Below are 23,551 nucleotides of genomic sequence, written 5' to 3'. Positions count from 1 at the left end.
CACTTACAAACATGAGAACCAATTCAGCTTTTGCCAGTTCCAATACAGATGAAACCATCCATGGCAATGGACCACTATTTGGAATATATATGGTGATTAGGCCTCTTTTCATTATTGTATCTTGCCTGGGTCTCTAAAACATGTAATCTAAAAGAATGGAGCGCAAGTCAGGGAATTAATTGGAAAACTATGGCTGTATTTTGCTTCTGTCAGTATTTTATTTTTTTATTTTTTTATTTTTGACAGGATCTGGCTCTGTCGCCCAGACTGGAATGCAGTGGTGTGATCTCAGCTCACTGCAGCCTCTGCCTCCTGGGCTCAAGTGATCCTCCCACCTCAGCCTCCCAAGTAGCTGGGACTACAGGCACATGCCACCACATCTGGCTAATTTTTGTGTTTTTAGTAGAGATGTGGTTTTGCCCTGTTGCCCAGACTGGTCTCAAACTTTTGAGCTCTAGGAATCTGACTGCCTCAGCCTCCCAAAGAGCTGGGATTTCGGGTGTGAGCCACCACACCCAGCCAGTATCTCCTTAAAGGTCATTTGAGAAATTCAATTAAACTCTCTAGGCCTCAGTTTCCCCACCTCCAAAGAAAGAAGGTTGAACTAGATGACCCCTGGCATTCTTTCATGTATCAGTGTTTCATATCTGTGCCTGAATGAAGCAGAAACAGTGAAAATAGGATTTTAAAAGACAGAACCTATGGACATTTTGCCTGGAAAATAAAATATAAATAATGAATGCAGAAACTTATTCTAAAGACCAGGAAAAGAAAATTGCTCTGATGAGGACATTGACTAATTATTCTTTCATTTAATAATAATAAAGAGTAAAAGTGGATTTCAATGAGCAAGAAAAACAAAGCATTTGTAGAGAAAAAACAGACCTAGTTTTTGAGGGTGTCTACTGGAATAGGTTACAAGGCAGCACTAAATGATTTTCTTCCTGAGAGACTTTTTTAAAGTAATGGTTAACCACTTGGTGGGTTGCTTGATAAACACACTAAGTATTTATTATGTATTAGGCAATATGTTGGGTGCTAGGTATAGATTTGTGAGCAAAAATACAAAAAGGCCCCTGCCATCATACTTATGTAGAAAATAGTAATCAAATTAACACAAATATAGTAGCAAAATAACTTGAAGAAAATGTATATGGGGCTATGAGAACTTACAACAGGAAACAGCGTCGGAAGTCAGGGAAGGTTTCCCGGAGAAGGTGTCCTTTGAGCTATTTGAGTTAGAATCTGTAAGAAGCACAAAGACCCCATTAGTGTCCTGTACCAGACCTAAGCTCCAGTTCATTCTTACCAATAGAATCCTGCTTTTTTTTTTTCTCAGTATCAATGTGCTCAAAGTTAGATAACTAACTTATAGCCTTTGTTGCAACTAGAAAGATCTATATGACACGATTTTTGTACAGGAGCAGTAATCAGAACACTGCAAGTGATTTCTCAGAAAAGGTTATTTTCCTAATATAAATGCTGCACCTTTCTCTTTGTCATTTTTCCTTCCTGCCTGGAATAGAAATGCAATATTTGGAGGTACAACAGCTATCTTGTGGCTGTGAAGAACAAAGCCAAGTGACATTGTGGCAGATCAGGATCAAAGCATTTCTTGACTTATCTTCTACTGATAGGAATTTAACAATTTTTCTGAGCAACAAGACCAGATGGAATTAGAAATTGAAGTTTTGTTTCCAACTATTAATAACAGGTCAAATCTACAGAGGCTCTTAACAGCCATCCAGTGGTGTAGCCATCCAGGCTCTCTGTCACTCATACTGATGGGTATTTTCAGTCTGACCACTCTCTCTTGTAACTGTACTCTTCTCCTCCCCATCCCCAGTGTGGTTTTCACTCATCAAGTGTCAGTCATGTTTCCTGCTAAACCTCTTGTCAGTTTTACTTGGTATTATAATTATGTAATTTAATTACATGTTACCTAAAACAATGAAACATGAGTGTCAAAATAAGTCTGGAGCAACTGAAAACTGCTAAACTATGTCCCAGTGGGTTTAGGCAAAGCATTCTTTATGTTAATAATCTAGGAGAAACTCATACAACCCAAGAAACATTTTGCACTCAAATTCCTGCATATGTCTTCATGCTCTTTCTTGCTCCAATTAAAACAAAAACTAGACATTACAAACGAGGTAACATCAGTGTAGTTTTTGTTCAAAGGGCCACAGGAAAATATAAGAAACTCCAATTAGCCAATTGATACTCAGAGAAAGATCTTATCAAAAATTACCCAAAAAGGTGCATGTATATGCTTTAGCTCAAACCAAAAAGATTGCGTGTATTTACTTATTTTTCAAGGTTTACTACCTTAAGTGACTTTTGTAATTAACCAAATTCTGGTCCATCTGATGGAGTGAAATACTGATGGAGTTTCTGCTATATCGTTACTTTAATCAACATGTTATACTATGATTTTAAATCAGTTTCAAAACTGCAAATTTTGACCCAATGATTAATCGAATCAGATGCTCTGGTTCAATATACTAGCTGATATGGGCACAAAATATGATTTAAGTATCATATGAGGTTTTTGGTTTCATTTCCATTGTTCAATCTCTGGCCAACACTTTGTCCAAACATTGTCTAAATGTTTAAATATTAGTAACATTGATACATACTAAAGCAGGCATCAATCATGAACTGAATTTTCTGTACACATTAAATTACATTGGCCTATATTCTGTCATTATGTAAGATGTCCTCTGCATACAAGCAAGGCACACTAGGAAATGCATAAATTCTTCTAGGTCAAAAAGGAATCATTTCATATCTAAAGAAATAATTTATACGGTCATACAGCACTAAGTTGTTCCCTTGCAACAAATGACACCCTAAAGTCATGAGACAGTAAACTAGCTGCTAGAACGCCAAACTGGCATACACCAGTTTTCTTATTTAATATATACTTTCTACAGGAAAACAAAATGGCAAATTGCCAGAAAACAAAAAAAAAAATCCCACTGCCTAATCATAGAGGTCCTTAACAGCTGAGTTTTGGTGATTTCTTACAGGGCTGCTGCCTCACAGCTGCAGAGTAATAGCATTATCTATGAATTCACAACAGCTGTTAAGTGCTGCCATTTCCTATGCCTGGGTAGAAATCCTTCCTATTATGGCTTATTGTGCCAATGTTGGGTCCACTGATTATCAGATAATTTAATTGCCTACAGTAGCTCTAGAATTCTACACCCATCCGGTGAGCTCTCATCTAACTCGATGGCCAACACAGATTTCTGCCATGTTATGCTTACACAATCCTGGTGGAATATATTCATCTCCCATGAACCTACAGAAGATGCTGATGTTTTGTTTTGTGTTTTGTACTCCAGATGTGTCTATGTTCCTCTTGGTTGTCTCTGTCCTCAAACAGCAGTAGCCAAATCTATAAATAATAAATGTAAAGTTCAAATAAGCCATGAGCAGAGGTTGCTGTGAGCCAAGATCACATCACTGCATTCCAGCCTGGGTGGCAGAGCAGGATCCTGTCTCAAAAAAAAACGTAGGCATTTCAATGCCTGCTTCAGCCAAACAAGCCATGAAAGTAGAAACTTAGAAATAGAAGTCACTATTATCTTATCTAGATCAAATTGTATCCTTATTTCATTTGAAGACATAAAATTGCCTTTCAGTGAGCTGGAGTAGCTATCAAATAATGTTTTTGTAGTTAGAGTTCAAAACTTGACTGGTTTCAACAGTTTTGCCCGCAGAAAACCTGGCCTAGGGTTTATAATTATTTATAATCATGGATTTGATGTTCCTGTACCATTCTCAGTATGTAGAGGTCATGAAAGAAAGCCATGAAAGTAAATGGGGTCTCCCAAGGGAGGAGAGGGCGAAAATGTGACTTTAAGGAACACTAACAAGAGAGTGTATAAGGGGTAGTAGAAAACCTGGATGATGCAGAGGGATGGAAGATAAGAAAAGAAGGCTTTCAAAGCTATGGGGGCAGGGCGCGTGGCTCACGCCTGTAATCCCAGAACTCTGGGAGGCCAAGGCAGGCGGATCACCCGAGGTTGAGAGTTTGAGACCCAGCCCGACCAACATGGAGAAACCCCATATCTACTAAAAATACAAAATTAGCTGGGCATGGTGGTGCATGCCTAATCCCAGCTGCTTGCGAGGCTGAGTCAGGAGAATCACTTGAACCCAGGAGGCAGAGGTTGCAGTGAGCCAAGATCGCACCGTTACACTCCGGTCTGGGCAACAAAAGTGAAACTCCATCTTAAAAAAAAAAAGTTATGGGTACACAAAAGCATACAGAGTGGTGTAATGAACTTTGGAGACTCAGAAAGGGGAGAGTGGAAGGAGAATGAGGAATTAAACTACATATTGGGTAAAACGTACACTACTTGGGTGACAGGTGTCCTAAAATCTCAAGACTTCACCACTATATAATTAATCCATGTAACCAAAAACCACTTGTACCCCAAAAGGTATTGAAAGAAAAATATTGAAAGAAAAAAAAATACAAAGAAAAAGGTTTTCTAAAAGGAGAAAGTGGTTTGCTGTAGGAACTACTTCTCAATCATCAAGTAAGACCCAGAGAATGAGAATTGTCCATGAGACCCAACCACAAGGAAGCCCCAGCAACCCTGGCCATCACAATCTCCTCAGAGCAGTGTGGACCAAAGACAAATTACAATGAAAAGACACGCAGGGTTTGTCCAGCGGAAAAAGTTGAACATGCTTAAATACTAGGAGTCAACAGAGGAAAGAGGTTAATAAACAGGAGGGAGAAGGTCGTCAAAATTCGAAGACCCTCCACTTAGCACCAAGTCTTAGTAGCAAGTCTCTAAGATGACTTCCACCTCCTGGTAGACACACAGCTATGTAGCTGCCTCCATTTTGCTGGGATTGATATTTGTAACAAATAGAATGTGACCAAAGTCATTTCCTAGATTTTAAAAACCACCGTGCTTCTGCCTTCGCTGTTCTTCTTGAACTCTCCCTGGGGGATGCCAGTGGTCATGCCTGAGGAAGCTCAAAGCAGCCTGCTCAGAGGTCCACATGGAACTGAGGTCTCTGTCCAACAGCCAGAAAGGAGCTAAAGTCAACCAAAAACCACGTGAACGAACTTGGAAGTAGATCCTCCACCACTGAACCTTGCTTGACCACAGCCCTGACCATTACTTTAGTTCAACCTCATGAGAGGCTTAGGCAGAACAACCCAGCCAAGCCACTTCTGGATTCCCCCCCCTCAAAAACTGAGGTAATATGCACTCAGTGTTTTAACCTGCTAAATTTTGTGGTGATTTGTAACAATAGATAACACAATGAGAAACAAAAGCCAAAGGAAAAGGGATTCAGGTCTCAGAGAAACATATTAGCTTGAGACAGGAGGCAGTGTCATTCACTCCCGTAAGAAGAGGTAAGAAAATACCCTTTTGTATGGATTTAAGTAGATAGGTGAGTCTCATTAACTTTATAACGCACATACTTTCTAGTTTGACTTTTGGCGTGAGGTATTCTTCAGTGTCTTACCTTGTTTGTGGAAAGACAACCGATGAAGCCATTTTCCCATGCCTGGTGGTTGACCAAAGCAAGAAGATATTCCAGAACGTTGTTTAGATGTGCATGGTGGCAGTAACTATAGTCCCAATGTGCCCCGAATTGGTGGCGTCTTAGTCTCACTGACTTAAAGAATGAAGCCATAGACCCTCACAGGGAGTGTTACAGTTCTTAAAGGCAGTGTGTTTGGAAATTGTTTCTTCTGACATTCAGACATGTTTGGAATCTTTTTTTCCTGCTGGTGGATTCGTGGTCTCACTGGCTCAGGAGTGAAGCTACAAACCTCGCCGGTGAGTGTTACACCTCCTAAAGCAGTACGTCTGGAATTGCTTGTTCCTCCCGGTGGGTTTGTGCTCTCACTGGTTTTAAAAGTGAAGCTGCAAATTTTCATGGTAATCATCACAGCTCATACAAGCAGCATGAACCCAAAAAACACACACCTGCAAGATTTACTGCAAAGAGAGAAAGAACAAACCTTCCAACCTCCCTAAGGAAACCCCAGCTGATTACCACTGCGGGCCTGGGCAGCCTGCTTTTATTCCTTTATCTGGCCCCACCCACATCCTGCTGATTGGTCCATTTTACAGAGAGCTGATTGGTCTGTTTTACAGAGAGCTCATTGGTCCGTTTTGACAGGGTGCTGATTGGTGCGTTTACAATCCCTGAGCTAGACACAAAAGTTCTCCACATCCCCACTACATTAGCTAGATACAGAGTGTCGATTGGTGCATTCACAAACTCTGAGCCAGACACAGGGTGCTGATTGGTGTGTTTACAAACCTTGAGCTAGATACAGAGTGCCGATTGGTGCATTCACAATCCCTTAGCTAGACTTAAAGATTCTCCAAGTCCCCACCAGATTAGCTAGACACAGAGCGGTGATTGGTGCATTTACAAACCTTGAGCTAGATAGAGTGCCGATTGGTGCATTCACAATCCCTTAGCTAGACATAAACATTCCCCAAGTCCCCACCAGACTCTCGAGCCCAGCTGGCTTCACCCAGTGGATTTCGCACTGGTGCTGCAGGTGGAGCTGCTTGCCCTTCCCGCGCCATGCGCCGGCACTTTTCAGTCCTTGGGAGATCGATGGAATTGGCTGCCCTGAATCAGGGGGCTGCGCTCGTCGGGGAAACTCGCGTCGCGCAGGAGCCCACGGCGGTGGGGGGTGGTGGGGAGACTCACCGTCGGCCGGCACTGCTGGGGGACCTGGCGCACCCTCCGCAGCTGCTGGCTTGGGTGCTAAGCCCCTCACTGCCCGGGGCCGTCGAGGCCGGCCTGCCGCTCCGAGTGCGGGGCCCGCCAAGCCCACGCCCACCCGGAACTCTTAACTGGCCTCCAAGCGCCGCACAACCCTGGTTCCCGCCCGTGCCTCTCCACACCTCCCCGCAGTCTGAGGGAGCCGGCTCCTGCCTCGGCCATCCCAGGAAAGGGCTCCCACAGTGCAGCGGCGGGCTGAAGGGCTCCTCAAGCGCGGCCAGAGTGGGCACCGAGGCCGAGGAGGCGCCAAGAGCGAGCGAGGGCTGCCAGCAGGTTGTCACCTTTCACCAGCTTCTCAGGAGGCTAAAGCAGGAGAATCGCTTGAACCTGGGAGGCAGAGGGTGCAGTAAAAGGAAATTGCATCACTGCACTCCAGCCTAGCCAACAGAGTGAGACTCTGTCTCCAAAAAAAAAAAAAAAAAAAAAAAAAAAAAACCAAGGAGCCTGGATTGGGAGAGAATTAGGATTAGGAGGATTAAGAGATTAAGTCAAGAAATTAGTAAAAAAAAAAAAAAAAAAAAAGAGCTTGAAGTATAGGCAGGTGTAGCTAGAGAGTGGAATGTCTGAGATGTGAGTTTAGCAGTGGAACCACTGTGGTTAACAAGTGTAAGGACACTGTGGCAGTGTGTGGCTCCTAAAATTGGTCATGAGACCACTAGAAACCAAGGAGTTAGGCTGTCAGTGGGTCATCTATGTGGACACAGAATTGACATGGGAAGACAATTAAGACTTTAGGCAGGGCAATAGCCAGGGATATCCTTGTTGGGAGCACAATGGGAAGGAGTGGCGTAGCACGTTCAGATGACAGGAATGAGTGGCAGTTTGAATAATCAGATGCAGAAGGTAGGCCGTGGCATTGGGAATTGAAGAAAGCACCCCTCAGGCAGCTTGCACTAAAGCAGGGCGGTTAGGGAAGAATGGGAGCATTCTCCAGGGAGGGCTTCAGGGGAAGTGGAATCATGATGGGAAAGGCTGTTTCTCTGACTCAGGAAGTTCTTTTTTTTTTTTTTTTTTTGCTATTTTTTGTTGTTGTTGTTGTTTTGAGACGGAGTTTCGCTCTTGTTGCCCAGGCTGAAGTGCAATGGCCCTATCTTGGCTCTCCGCAACCTCTGCCTCCCGGGTTCAAGCAATTCTCCTGCCTCAACCTCCCGAGTAGCTGGGATTACAGGTATGCGCCACCATGCATCGCTAATTTTGTATTTTTAGTAGAGACAGGGTTTCTCCATGTTGATCAGGCTGGTCTCCAACTCCTGACCTCAGGTAAGCTGCCCACGTCGGCCTCCCAGAGTTCTGGGATTACAGGTGTGAGCCACCGCATCCCGCCTTCGATGTGTATCTAGCTCACTGGCCTAAATGGAGGTTTCTAGCAGCTAGAACATTCCCACACTGCCACCCAGGGGGATGAGTGGATCTGCACCTAGCACTCATGGGAACCATTTTCTCCAGCCTTGACGGGGAGACCTGTGGGTTCACACAAGGAGCTGGAGGAAGCATTTGGTGAAGATGTTGGAGGTAATAGCTCTTTGCATGTTAATTCTGACTTGTTTTAGGAAAGATGGCCAACTGCATGTCTGGTGACTGGGAAATGTTCCTTCTGGGAGAAGGAGATTCACTGCTAATGATTTGGGGCTTGGAACAGGCAGACACTGGCTCTAGATCCCTGGAGAGAATGCAAACCAGGAAGGAGTCGACACAGCTCAGAACCACTTATGATCTGTTAGATGCTATCATTTCTGAAAAGACATCTAAATTCATTGGAAATGAAGACTATTCTAGACTTTAGATAGAGAAGTCTTACCTGAGTGATGGGCATTTGCCTTGTTGCTTGTATATAAATGACCAGGCTGAAATAATGCTGTGGACTAATAAAGCTGCTCTCAGGGTGGAGGGGAGGGATGGGCCCAAAAGACTTACTAGTTTTATAACTAATTGTTGCTTCTATTAACGTGTAAAATTGCTAATAAAACAGTGATTTAAAATTTAACTTCATGGTGTCATTCTTCAGAATCAATTAGCAGTTAAATCATATTTTAGATGTTGCTTTGCTTGCTTCATGATTCCGTTTTACAGCAATCTTCTTAAGATCCATAAAAGCTGGGTTCATTTCTAGTTCCTTGTCTCAGGGCTTGCCCAGCGCCTTTCATATAATAGCCATTCCACTGTGTTTGTCGAGTGAATGAATAAACTCCAGAATAAGCTTGAGAGAGCTGTGGGAGCTTTTCAAATGTCCTGTTTCTTATTTTTTTTATTTTATTATTATTTTTTTTGAGACAGGGTCTCACTATGTCACCTGGGTTGTAGAGCAGTGGAGCAACAATATCTCACTGCAGCCTTGACCTCCTGGCCTCAAGTGATCCTCCGGATTCAGCCTCCTAAATAAATAGGACTACAGGCATTCACCGTCATGCCTGGCTAATTTTTAATTTTTTTTAAGAGACGGGGCCTTAATATATTGCCCAACCTGATCTCAAACTCCTGAGGTCAAGTGATCCTCCCACCTCGTACTGGGATTACAGGTGTGAGGCACTACACCCAGCCTGTCCCTTAAAACTTTTGCAGCAATAAAAATTTATATTAGAATGAATCTTTAATTAGTAAACAGAAAACTAGTAATATCTTTAGAAACTAATATGCGACAATAAAATGTAATATATTTATTATATTTACCATATCTATCACTGCAATATTGTTTAGTATTATATTTTCAACCAAATTTTCTCTACCCATGATCATGACAACTTTAAAAAGAAGTGTACGGTCGGCTCATTAAACAGTCTGGTTTTATTTACATCATACTAAGAGTGAGAATAAATCATAGTTTCTGAAAAGAAAATGCATTCTCATGTCATTTAATTTTTTTCAACTCTGCACAGACAAATGAACCCATTCATCTATAGTTCATTTCTTTCCATTATCGTTTTTACAATAGTTTAAAAAGTATTTAGCCAACATAGTTCAAATGAAATTTTTTATCAACAACCACTTATTCATTAAATTAATGTTTTGCAAAGAAATAATCAGCTAGTCTTGGTCTATTATGTGCTGCTATAACAGAATACCTCAGACCAGGTAATTTATAAGGAACGAAATGTATTGAGTCATGGTTCTGGAGGCTGGGAACTCTCAGACCATGTTAGGACCCATTTTCTCTGCTTTTAAGATTCTGCCTTGTATATGCATCCTCCAGATGGAAGGGAAATGCTGGATCCACACATAGCAGAAAGGCAGAAGGGCTAAGAACATGAGCCCTTTTATTAAGGCATGAGCCCTCATGGCCTAATCTCTTAAAGTCCTCTCTAACAACTGTTACAATGGCAATTAAATTTCAACCTAACTTTTGGAAGGCACATTCAAACTAGAGTATAGCTGAGCAAAAAAAACAAAAAAAAAAAACAACAAAAAAAAGAATTATGGTAATATTTTGATAATCTATCTTCAAAGATCCAAAACTGGAAAAAATATTCAAAGGTGCAACAAAATGATTTACTTCACTTCTTCATCAATTGTTCAGTCTATTCACCATTACCCAAATGCTGATTCCTTGGAGTGCACACAAGTAGCATTTCCCCAATCCTAATCACCTACTTAACATTGTTGTTAGGTTACACACTTGTGCATGCATTGTATGTGTATAAATCACATGTGTAATCACTTTTCCTATAACATATAGAAGCTTTGTCCTATATGTAATCTTCTTTAATCATTGCACAATATAGAAAATTGTAGCTCTATAGCTAAGTAACTAGCTAGCAAATGTTGAAATTTGAACTTAGATTATTTCTAGACTATATTTTTAATAATTATGATATACTAAATACTAGTTGATTATGAACAATATGCTGAATAAATATTCAGATAAATGGAATATTCACTGACAAAAAACAATTTTCATATTTGTAGAGGGATGAGAGGGCAGAAGCTACACTTCAGTGATCTTTAGTAATATTATTTAGAACTTTTACAACATTTAACAGGAGAACAGGATTGGTCGGTTTCACAATTTTACCTCTATTGTAAACTTATGACACCACATACCCCAGAAGCACATGATAAAACTAAGCATTCTGAAGCTTTAATGATAAAAATTAAGGCTAGGTAGAAATTATCCATAATGGTTCTAAATTTTCTTTTCATCCTGGTTCTAAATATTTAGAGCTTAAAGGCTATTTGGGAGCTTCTATGTGGCACGGTAAAGGAATTATTTTGAAAAGACAGTTTTTTATGCAGAGTATTTCCTCCTGTCTATAAAATACTAAACATAATGAAGAAGCCAGGCACAGTGGCTCACTCCTGTAATCCCAGCACTTTGGGAGGCTGAAGAGGGTGGATCACTTGAGGCCTCCAGGAGTTTGAGACCAGCCTGGCCAACATGATGAAATTCCATCTCTACTAAATATACAAAAATTAGCCGGACATGGTGGCGGCCATCTGCAATTCCAACTACTCGGGAGGCTGAGGCACGAGAATAGCTTGAATCTGGGAGGCAGAAGTTGCAGTGAGCCAAGATCATGCCACTGCACTCCAGCCTGGGTGACAGAGAGAGACTCCATCTCAAAAACAAAACAAAAACATAATGAAAACACACAAGGCAGGTTATATTTACATAAACAGACAATAGTAGAATAGGAAGAATTGGTCATTCTCCTTAATTACATGATAAAGTTGAAGCATCATAGATAATCTCCTCCTCTCTGCCTCTGAAACCACGTTTTAAAAGACATTCTTGAACAGAATGCATTTTGTTTGGAAGCAATCCTTAAGGAGAAATACCTGGGTTAGAAAGCCCTGCTCTCACAGAAGTCTCAATTGGTTCCCTGCAGTGAGTGAATTTGCAGAGTGTAGTGATGGTTGCTCACACTAGACTACATATTCCTTATATCACCCTATATATCATGTCTGCAGGGAATTACAGGATGCATGCAAACACAAAAATCCTCATACTCTTTTAATCACATTCATATTGGTCTTTATTCATGCCAGGCTATACCTCCCTGAAAGAGCTTTTGTATCTATCAAATTTTAAGTGACCTCTAGATGAAGAAAGAGAATCTTGAAGACCAGAATTAGTGGCTCTTTTTGTTTCTTGTGAATATCAGTAAATTTTTAAAGAAAATGACTTTAAATTAGGCATATGTGCTAATCCCAAGTGAACATAAATTCACCAAGGCCCCAAAGAAACATTTCCCCTCAAATTTTGGAAAGAATATTTTAACAGACCATGAGTTGTCTGACTCTGGATTTATATACATGGTTACTACTACATTTCTTTTCACTGTATTCTTGTTCAGAATAAGTACAAACATTGGTGTATGTGTATGTGTGTGGGGGGGTCCTCAAATGTCTTCAAAGCTATTTTGACTTATGAGCAGACTCTCATAAAAAAAATTATTTTTGCCAAAATTAGTTTTCCTATTTCTCCTAATGATACGATTTTCTGTGCATATTTTTTTAAAGAATGGAATTGTTTTGTGGCCCATCAGAGTAATGTGTTCATACATAAAAAGCTTTTATGAGACAATGTTGTAAGCGGAAGAGTGTCTATTCACATGGAAATTATTGCCTGGATTAAAAACGTTTTAAGCCAGAAGATTGGCAAATCAAAATTTTTTTGTCTCAGTTTCTTAGAAAAGTGCCTTTATTTCTAAATCCATAAGTCAACACGGTAGAATGAAGCTATTTATTGCTCGGATGGCACAATCAAAATAACAATGACCTCCTTTTTCCAATTCCAAGTGGAAAAACAATTGATATTATTTACCGAAATATTGAAAAGAAACTTTTAAATACAGAAAACATGTGTTAGAAATGAGTAAGAGCTAATCACTAAAGTGAGATAGGTTGAAGTTCTGGGTTTCTGAATTCTTCATGAAGTTGCATTGAATCCATCATGTGCTCTTCTTTAAATCTTTTTACCTCTTGCATATCAGTGTCTTCAAATGCGTAACATTAACTATTCTAGCCACAATAAGGACATTAATTCCTTTTTTTTTTCTTTGAGACAGAGTCTCACTCTGTTGCCCAGGCTGGAGTGCAGTGGCATGATCTCAGCTCACTGTAACCTCCGGCTCCTGGGTTCAAGCGATTCTCCTGCCTCAGCCTCCCAAGATGCTGGGATTTCAGGCATGCACCACCACGCCCGGCTAATTTTTGTATTTTTAGCAGAACCGGGGTTTCACCATGTTGGCCAGGCTGGTCTCGAACTCCTGACCTTGTGATCCACCCACCTCAGCCTCCCACAGTGCTGGGATTACAGGCGTGAGCCACCGTGCCCAGTCAGGACATTAATTTTTAATTTCCTTAGGTCCAAACACATTAATCCATTTACTTATTGTAGGTGTCCTGAGTATTAATAAAATTTTAGGAGAAAGAAAACCTAGAACCAGAAAAAAAGGAATCTCCTTTTGAAGTGAAGCACATAGAAAATGGCAGAACTAGGAAGGAACCAACGTGTCCTGACTTTAAGTTCAATGTCTTTTTCATTAAATTATGCTGCAGAACTATTAAGATATGCTATTGCTTTGGAGTATCCTAAATAAAACTATTCTTTCTTATACTGTAAGGTTGCTATCAGCTATCAATGGTCTCAATTGTCTAATAAGACAACATGAGAGAATATAGTCATTGAAAAGAATCCATAGATAAGTATAAAAATACTAATGTTTGAAATTCATTACAATATTTTTCATCAAAATAAAATATTAATTCAAAAAGTATTCCAAATGCAGTGTACCAAGAACTGTTTGGAAAGTAACAGCAGTGGTTTTCTTTGCCTCAAAGTATTCTCTGATAAAGTCAAATATAACTCAGTGACCAAAAGGGAGAAGCAACAGCAACAGAACTGACAGAAATACAGGAGAAAAAGATCAGAATTCTACCTGGACTTAATAATCAAACTTGACTCATGCAGATCTGAAAATGCATAATAATGTCTATAACTTGTAAGATGACATTCAGTTAGTCCCTTTATTAAATAATTCTTTATTTTACAACACTGTTAGTAGCACTGTAAAACCACGTATATGGAAGGAAGAAAGGATACGGATAATTAGAGCTTGGTGTGGAAGATGGCTTTTATAAAATTATGAAATCCAAGTAAAACAAACAAGCTGTCAAGAACAAAAACCCAGAACCTCGCACCTGATAAAACAACATTGTGTTGGGTCTAGCCTCATGCCAAGTTTTTGTGTCACTAGATATGTTGAATTAGAACACTGTATATGTATTTACTGTTCCTATAGAAACTCAGTACTTTGAAGAATAAGGGAATTTTGAGCAAGGTTTATGACATGATTATAAAACACAATGGCAAGAGTGAAGTCATGTCATGATGTTTTACAGGTCCAGACTCACCACTGTGTTATCAAAGTCAGCTGTTATATTTAGCTAATTAGTTGAGTTAATAGGTTGGCAATTTTGAGGGGGGGTTTAATTGTCTATTTATGTTTTCTTCACATCCCATGTCATTCTTTCTCAAAATAGAGAAGTTTCAAAATTCCACTTTTGGAAAAAAGAGGAAAGTCCTTTGTTTTGTTTTTGTTTATGGAAGTTCCACTCCTTCCTAACATATAGAGAGCAGAGAAGAATGTCATTTCCACTCTAAGAATCCTACAGTGGCCGGGCGCAGTGGCTCACGCCTGTAATCCCAGCACTTTGTGAGGCCGAGGCAGGCAGATCACTAGGTCAGGAGATGGACACCATCCTGGTTAACACGATGAAACCCCGTCTCTACCAAAAAAAAACACAAAAAATTAGCCGGGCGTGGTGGTGGGAGCCTGTAGTCCCAGCTACTCGGGAGGTTGAGGCAGGAGAATGGCGTGAACCCGGGAGGCGGAGCTTGCACTGAGTGAGCCGAGATGCGCCACTGCACTCCAGCCTGGGTGACAGAGCGAGATTCCATCTCAAAAAAAAAAAAAAAAAAAGAATCCTACAGTGACAATTGGCAAAAGCCATTAACCCTGGGTAGAAAGTCGGAGTCTATTGATAACAGAGATACAAAGATGGACAGGAACGCATCATCCTTGAGCCTCAGGACTGAGGCTGAAATAGAAAAACTGAGAACCATCCTTGGTACACCACCGGGTTTTCATTGAGTAACAACTTACAGCAGACTACCATTTGCTTCAGGACAAGAGAACCACTTCTGTGGCACAGGTGTGCGGAGGCTAATGAAAGCTAAACGTCGGGGAGGAATTTTGGAAAAAACTCTCCAGCGTTCCAGCCCTTGTAAGTAGCATAGGTAGTGGCCATGCTCCATAGAAACTATTTGAGACCAAGGTACAGTGAAAGTAACCAGAACAAGAGCAAAACTCAAACTCAGCCAACTGCTGGCCATGTTGACTCAAGCCTGAACAACTCTCTTGCAGAGGAAGAGGCATGCCTACTTCTGGGCATAAATACTCATTATCCCAGTCCTTGCTGTTCTGCCATAATGTCTGAGATTCAATCAAAAATTATGAAGTACCCCAAAAATAAGAAAAGAATGACCCACTGCTAAGAGATGTAAGTGTCAACCAAGCCAGATTCAGAGATCACACACATAAGAATGATCAGATAAGGACGTAAAAATAACTCTATTAATATGTCAATGCATCCTGCAGAAAAGGTAGACAACATTGCATTAGGGTTTTCCAGATAAATCGCTGTGTGTGTGTGTGTGTGTGTATGTGTGTGTGCTGGAGTCTTGAAATGGAAGGCAGTCTGGAAACAGAATTTTTTCTTTCTGAGGATCTCAGTCTTTACTCCGAAGGCCTTCAACTGATTGAATAAGGCCCACCTAAGTTATAAAGGATCATCCATTTTACTCAACGTCTTCAATTTAAATGTTAATCACATCTGAAATATACTTTTACAGTAACATCTAGACTGATACTTGACCAAATAAACTGGGTACCATGACCTAGCCAAGTTGATGCATAAAATTAACCATTATAACTAGTAGATTTGATGAGCAGATAAAGCATGAGTACAGACTAGCATGAAAGCAAGAAACTCCTGGAGCTGCAGTCACAGGAGGTCTTTATATTTTCTTGGTCTTTCACTCCAGGAACTCTACTAAATTCTCACTTCAAGGATTCAAGAAAGACTTTCTCATGGTTCTGACAGAAATAGCCATTGTGAAACCCTCCCAGAGCTAACTCCACAACAAAGTCCTACTCTCCAGAAAAAAGAGTTCCCCAGAGGGCAATACTGAAACCTTATCCCACCTGGGAGAAGAAAATTCCTCATCACTCCAGCCCACTCAAACTTTCTTGTCTCACCCGCAGGAAGAAATAAAAATATAGTAAAAAAGGAATAGGGCTTCAATGAAATGGATTGGGGCTGTTGCAGCCAGATAAGGGAATAGGCCACAAATGGGGAAAAAATAAGCTACATCCCTGGAGGAAGGATAGAAACACATGTGAAAGCGACATTCATCCCAGAGACACACATCCACTAAAAGATGAAAATTTTGTGTTACGATTACCACAAAGTAATCAAGCCATCTATCACCACACATAGTTACCCTTTGTGTGTATATGCGTGTGGTGAAGACACTTACAATCTACTCTTACCAAATTTCAAGTAAACAATACAGTATTATTAACTATAGCAACCAATTTGATCTGGGTAATTATTATACCGTGTACATGTATATCAAATCACATTGTAGACCTTGAATCTATACAATTCTTGTCAATTATACCTCAAAAAGTAGAAATAATTAAATAATTAATGTAACATAAAATGTCCTGTTATTTCAAAAGCAGTTGATAATTTTGATCTAAAATTGCTACTAAAATACAGAATATTAACTTCACCAGAGGTTAGTATGAATGACTAAGGAACTGAGTTTAAAAAGTATAAATTGAGATCCTAAATCCTAAACATGAAGAAAGATAAATGAGTTGACAATGTCTTTTAGGACAGTATTTTTATCTAACTTCTTATTCCTGAAAATGACAGATGCATAATATAGAACCAGACTTATTTACTTAAATACCAGCAATTACCTTAGAAACTGTGAGACAAGCTCTTGTCAATGCTAAGAGCTTAAACCCTGGAGTCTGATGTTTGGATTCCAAACCTGCTTCAACCTTAATTTCATGTGACCTGATGTAAGTGTGTATTAGTCTGTTTTCATGCTGCTGATAAAGACATACCTGAGACTGGGCAATTTATAAAAGAAAGAGGTTTAATGGACTTACAGTTCCACATGGCTGGGGAGGCCTCACAATCATGGCAGAAGGCAAGGAGGGGCAAGTCATGCTTTACCTGGATGGCAGCAAACAGCGCGAGCTTGTGCAGGGGAACTCCTCTTTGTAAAGTCCTCACATCTCGTGAGACTTATTCACTATCGCAAGGACAGCATGGGAAAGACTTCCCCCATGATTCAGTTACCTCCCACCAGGTCCCTCCCACAACATGTGGGAATTCAAAATGAGATTTGGATGGGGACACAGCCAAATCATATCAAAGTGATTGGATTCACCCACTCCATTTTCTCAATGGTAAAATGTACATTATAGTAAACACTATTTTATATGGAAAAAAGACCAAAACTTAATCTAAATATGATTGGACTCATCTCCTTTCTTACATTCTTCTACCATACCAAGACTCCAGTGGCAAGACACAAGCTCTCTGAGGAACAGTGCAATACAAAGCCCCAGAGACAAGGGAGGAAAGAAAAACAGGGACACTAAAGGAATTTGAAGCCTCAGGTACCTGACAATAAAAACCGTAAACCCAGCCCAGCTCCTAGTTAGGTTAACATCCTCACACCGAAGGCCTGTTTACTTCAGAACCTGTCACTGATGCACCATATCTGGCTTTCAACAAAACATTACAAGGCATACCAAAAGGTGAGATAAAAAGTGGTCTGAAGAAACAAAGCAATCAACAGAACTAAACTCAAATATGACACAGGTATTGGAATTATCAAGGAATTTAAAATAACTGTGATCAACATGTTACGGTATCTAATGCAAACAGTAGACCCTATGCAAGACCAAATGGTTGATGTCAGCAGCAATATGGGCAATATAAAAAATCCAAAGGAAATCCTAGAAATAAAAGGCACAGTAAGAGAAATAAAGAATGCCTTCAGCAGCTTATCAGAAGACTTGATGCAGCTGAGGAGAGAATTAGGGAAATTGAAGGAGGCACTACAAAAACTGCCCAAACATTAATACAGAGAGAAAAAATAATTTAAAAACCCAGAACACCTCAAAACTGTGGGACAATGTCAAAACGTTATGTGTATGTAAATAGAATAACAGAAGGAGAAATAATGAATAAAGAATAAACAAATTTGAAGTAATAATGGCTGAAAACCATCCAAAATTAACACCGACACCAATCCACAGACCCAGGAAGGTCAGACAATACTAAGGCGTTTCATACTCAACTTGCAGAAAATCTAGGAAAAAAGAAAATCATGAAGAAAGACACAGGGGGAAAACCCACCTTTACCTATAAAGAAACAAGGATAAGAATTACAGCTGATATTTTTTTTAAATCAGAAACCATGTAAGCAAGAAAAGGAAGGAGTGCAATCCTTACATTGTTAAAGAAAGTAATTGTCAGTCTAGAATTCTACACCCAGGGAAATTAACCTTCAAAAATTAAGAATAAATATATTCTCAGTCAAGCCAAAACTGAACAAATTAATTTCCAGGAGACCTGTACTGTAAGAAATATGAGAAGTACTTAAGGTAGAAGAAAAATACTATAGGTCATAAACTTAGACTGACATAAAGAAAAGAAAAATGTCAGAGAAAGACTAAATAAAAATTAATTTTCAATTTTTTCTTATTCTTATCAGAAAAATTACTATTTAAAGGAACAGAAGTAACAATGCATTAGGTGATTATAGTATTAATGACAGCAATGCCTTAAGGGATGGGAGGGAGAAATTGGTAATATTGTTATAAGGTAACTGTATTATACCCTTAATAATATAATGTTATTTGATGATGGATTTAAATATTTAAAATGTATACTGTAAATTTGAGAACAACTAAAAAAATTAAAGAAAAAGAAAGATTTAAGCAAATGCAATGAAAGAGAATGTATCACAGAACAAGAAGCTTAGGGAAACACAGGCAATGAGAATACGAAAAACTCAGGTAGGTACACCTCATAGTCAAACTGCTGACAATCCCAGGTAAAAAGAAAATCTCAAAGTCAGCCAGAGATAAGGACACGCTACATGCAGAGGAAGAAAGATCCAAATGAGAAGAGACTGCTTGTCAGAAATTGTGCAAGCAAGAAGACCAAGGAGAGATCTTTAAAATACTCAAAGAAAATTGTCACCTAGAATTTGATAACTCTTGAAAATATCTTGCAAAAATGAAGGCTAAATAAATGATTTTTTGACAAAGAAAAGCTGAAAAAATTTATTGTGAGCAGACCTGTACTACAAGAAAGGTTAAAAGAAGTTATTTAGGTAGAAAGAAAATGATATCAAATAAGCAGATCTACACAAAGGAATGAAGATCTTCAGAAATCGTAAAATTGTGGGTAAATCTAAAAGCCATTTTAAAAATTTTGAGTCATCTTAAGATTATTGTCTATAGCAAAGAAAAATGCTAGCAATTTGTTATGAGGTTTAAAATATGCAGAAGCAGAAGTAAATCATATAATGATAGCAACATGACAACTGGGGGAAAATGAAAGTCCACTGAAGAAATGCTTAATAAATGTTGGTTAAATATTTGAAAGTCCACTGAAAATGAAAGTCCACTGAAGTAGGCATACACCACACCACTGCAAGGGATGTCAAAGAATTTGCAGATATATTTTGAAACAATTTAAAGATTTCACTCCTTCCTTTTCTTCTGATTTAAAAAAAATCAGCTGTAATTCTTATCCTTGTTTCTTTATAGGTAATGGTTGGTTTCCCCCCATGTCTTTCTTCATGATTTTCTTTTTTCCTAGGTTTTCTGAAAGTTGAGTATGATATACCTTAGTATTGTCTGACCTTCCTGGATCTGTGCATTGGTGTCAGTCTTAATTTTGGATATTTTTCAGCCATTATTACTTCAAATTCATTTATTCCTTGTTCATTATATCACCTTCTGTTATTCTAATTATATACACATAAGCAGCAACAATCTGTGATGCTTTTGAAGTCATTAAATAAATGAATGAGGAAAAATGTAATATTATAATCAAGTTATAGTTTTCAAAATCAAATGTTATTTGTTAAACACCTTTGCTTATATCATCAATGGAAAAATTATCTCCCGACTGAAGTTTTAGTAAGAGAACCCATTCAGAGTTTAGTTCACACACATAGACTTTGGCATATAAAATGGAAAAACTTCACCCTTGATAGACTGTACAAAATATTTTTGTACTATGGAAGCTACTACTATTTTCCTAACGTGAGGAAAAATAGTAATACCACCCACTAGAGTGCCTTATCTTGATCTGTATCTGTTGATATTATCCTTTTGTTTGTGTCTTTCTTTAGTGTTGCTGACGTGCAGTTTATTAAGCCATGCATTGAAATCTTGTGTGGGGAACCTGTGGGTGGATTCTTGGCAAGAATCTCGGAGGTGGATGCCTGGCCAGGACCTGCAGGATTACTAGATAAATGTCACTAAAGTTTCACACTGCTATGAAAAGTGATGTCTACACCAAGTACAAACCCCAGTTGTTATTATTTATATTTGGTATCCTATATGGCTCCGAAGTCTCAAAGGACCATCAAACTCCATGTGAGCAAAACTTAACTCATCTTTCCCAGAACCCCTTCTGCTTCTTCAAAGTTAGTGACCATATACTCTTTCTCCTACTAGTATCTTACAGTAGTCACCGTTTTAATCCTTTGTGTATGTACAGGTCCCACAGCCAATTAATCATTAAGTTATCTAGACTTGACTTGGTATTTAAGATATTTGTACCATCCTCCTTATTGCTACTTTTATTTACTCCAATATTTATCACCAGAGTTATTGCAAGAATTTTCCAGCTGGTTCCCTACACAGTATCTTTTTGTTGCTGTCCTTAACTCTGCATTTCTCCCTAGCTGCCTGAACAAATGGGATTATATCACTCTTGTGCTTTAAATCTTTCCACAATTCCCCATGAGTTTCAAGAGATGCTCTAGCTAGGTTCCCTGAGCCATGAGCTCTTCATTATCTAGCCTTGTCTCCACCCTCACTTTCTGACATTCCTTGCCACAAACATATGCCACAAAAACACCCCGCTTGGGTCTACACACACACACACACACACACACACACACACACACTTCACTTTTTCGTGCCTTTTTTTCTGGTCCCACTCTCTGAACAGACAACCAGTCACCACCCATCTTTTGGGATTCAATTCAAGGTTAATTCCTCCAGGATGCATGAACTTTCTTTCCGGCACCCCCGCTCCCCGTCTCCCTGTGCCATCACAATGCAGGCGTCTCTCATGCAGTAGTACTACCAATTTATGTCTTTCTCTCTCATTAGGAAATAAAACATTCGGGGGCTGACTATGTGTTCATCTTTTTTACCCACAGCATCTGTGACTCAAGAAATGCTTAATACATGTTTGTTAAATATTTGCATTTATGGGAAATATGGTATTCATTATTTAGGCAAGTGTGTGAGATAACCATAATTGTTTCAATTATGTCAGTTTCAAAACATCTGCAAATTCTTTGACATCCATTGCAGAGAGGTGTGGTGTATGCCGCCTCTTCTTGAAACTGGGCATCGTTTGATCACTATTGCTACCAATAGAGGAGAGCAGAAGTGATGTATGAGCCTCACAAGGCTAGCTGACCAAAGGTGCTGCAGCCTCTACCTTGCTAGCTGGTGTGCCTGTTCTTAAAGTCTTGATTGGCCACGTAAGCAGTTTGTCAGCCCTGAGGCTACCTTGCTGTTGGGAAGCTCAGTCTAGACCATGTGGAGTCCATATGGCTGGATTCTGAGACTACATGAAAGAAAAAGATGATCAGTCTCCAACTGTCCCAATACTTCCTCCAATCACCTCTGTTCCAGCTACAGTTGCTCTGTCTCTTAACGTGTTAAGAAATTCCAAGCCACAACTGCTTAGCTGGTTCTTTCTAAAATTTCTCACCTAGAGAAAAGATGAGAAATAAAAATTATTACTGTTTTAAGCCACAGAAGATGTTATACAGCAATAAAAAACTGGAGCATTTATTTTGGAGAGTAAAGATAATGGGTTATAAACTTAGAATTAAAATCTTTTTAAATTAAATGTGTCCGGAATTGGTGGGTTCTTGGTCTCACTGACGTCAAGAAATGACACCACGGACCCTCGCAGTGAGCATTAACAGTTTTTAAAGGTGGTGTCCAGAGTTTGTGCCTTCTGATATTCAGATGTGTTCAGAGTTTCTTCCTTCTGGTGGGTTTGTGCCTTCTGATATTCAGATGTGTTCGGAGTTTCTTCCTTCTGGTGGGTTTGTGGTTTCGCCGGCTCAGAAGTGAAGCTACAGACCTTCCACGTGTGTTACAGCTCTTAAGGTGGCGCGACTGGCGTTGTTCGTTCTTCCCGGCGGGCTCCTGGTCTGGCTGCCTTACAGAAATGAAGCTGCAGACCTCCTCAGTGAGTGTTACAGCTCATAAAGGCAGATGTGGACCCAAATAGCAACAGTAACGAAATTTATTACAAAGTGAAAGTTCCAGGCTTCCACAGTATGGAAGGAGATCCAACTGGGTTGCCTCTGCCGGCTCGGCAGCCTGCTTTTATTCTCTTATCTGGCCCCACCCACATCCTGCTGATTGGTAGAGCCCAGTGGTCTGTTTTGACAGGGCGCTGATTGGTGCGTTTACAATCCCTGAGCTAGACACAAAGGTTCTCCACATCCCCACCAGATTAGCTATAGAGTGTCCACACAAAGGTTCTCCAAGGCCCCACTGGAGTAGCTAGATACAGAGTGTCGACTGGTGCATTCACAAACCCTGAGCTAGACACAGGGTGTTGATTGGTGTGTTTACAAACCTTGAGCTAGATACAGGGTGCTGATTGGTATATTTACAATCCCTGAGCTAGACATAAAAGTTCGCCAAGGCCCCACCAGAGTAGCTAGATATAGAGTGTCCACTGGTGCATTCACAAACCCTGAGCTAGACACAGGGTGCAGATTGGCGTATTTACAATCCCTGAGCTAGACATAAAGGTTCTCCACGTCCCCACCAGACTCAGGAGCCCAGCTGGCTTCACCCAGTGGGTCCCGCACGGGGGCTGCAGGTGGAGCTGCCTGCCAGTCCCGCGCCGTGCGCCGGCACTCCTCAGCCCTTGGGTGGTCGATGGGACTGAGCGCCATGGAGCAGGGGGCGGCGCTCATCGGGGAGGCTCGGGCCGCACAGGAGCCCACCGAGGGGGTGGGAGGCTCAGGCACGGCGGGCTGCAGGTCCCGAGCCCTGCTCCACGGGAAGGCGGCTAAGGCCCCGGCGAGAAATCGAGCGCAGCGCCGGTGGGCTGGCACTGCTGGGGGCCCAGTACACCCTCCGCAGCCGCTGGCCCGGGTGCTAATCCCCTCACTGCCCAGGGCCCGGCTGCTCCGAGTGCGGGGCCCGCCAAGCCCACGCCCACCCGGAACTCCAGCTGGCCCGCAAGAGCCGCGCGCAGCCCCGGTTCCCGCTCGCGCCTCTCCCTCCACGCCTCCCTGCAAGCTGAGGGAGCCGGCTCCGGTATTGGCCGGCCCAGAAAGGGGCTCCCACAGCGCAGCGGTGGGCTGAAGGGCTCCTCAAGTGCCGCCAAAGTGGGAGCCCAGGCAGAGGAGGCGCCGAGAGCGAGCTAGGGCTGTGAGGACTGCCAG

At 40.7% G+C, this 23,551-nt stretch overlaps 1 long non-coding RNA gene across 4 annotated transcripts in view; it reads right to left on the bottom strand.

The window, feature by feature from the left end:
• LOC105374914 (uncharacterized) overlaps window positions 1-23,551 on the bottom strand; it is a 91,755-nt gene that overhangs the window by 3,998 nt on the left and 64,206 nt on the right. For all 4 annotated transcript variants that reach the window (XR_001743953.1, XR_001743952.1, XR_001743951.1 and 1 more), the window contains one exon: window positions 1,174-1,245. This is a non-coding gene — a long non-coding RNA (uncharacterized LOC105374914). The remainder of the gene's footprint in view (window positions 1-1,173; window positions 1,246-23,551) is intronic.

The sequence above is a fragment of the Homo sapiens genome, chromosome 6, assembly GCF_000001405.40.
Source record: "Homo sapiens chromosome 6, GRCh38.p14 Primary Assembly".
Taxonomy (NCBI): Eukaryota; Metazoa; Chordata; class Mammalia; order Primates; family Hominidae; genus Homo; species Homo sapiens.
Note: the sequence above shows the minus strand (reverse complement) of the source record. Positions and strands in the feature narration are given on the sequence as shown.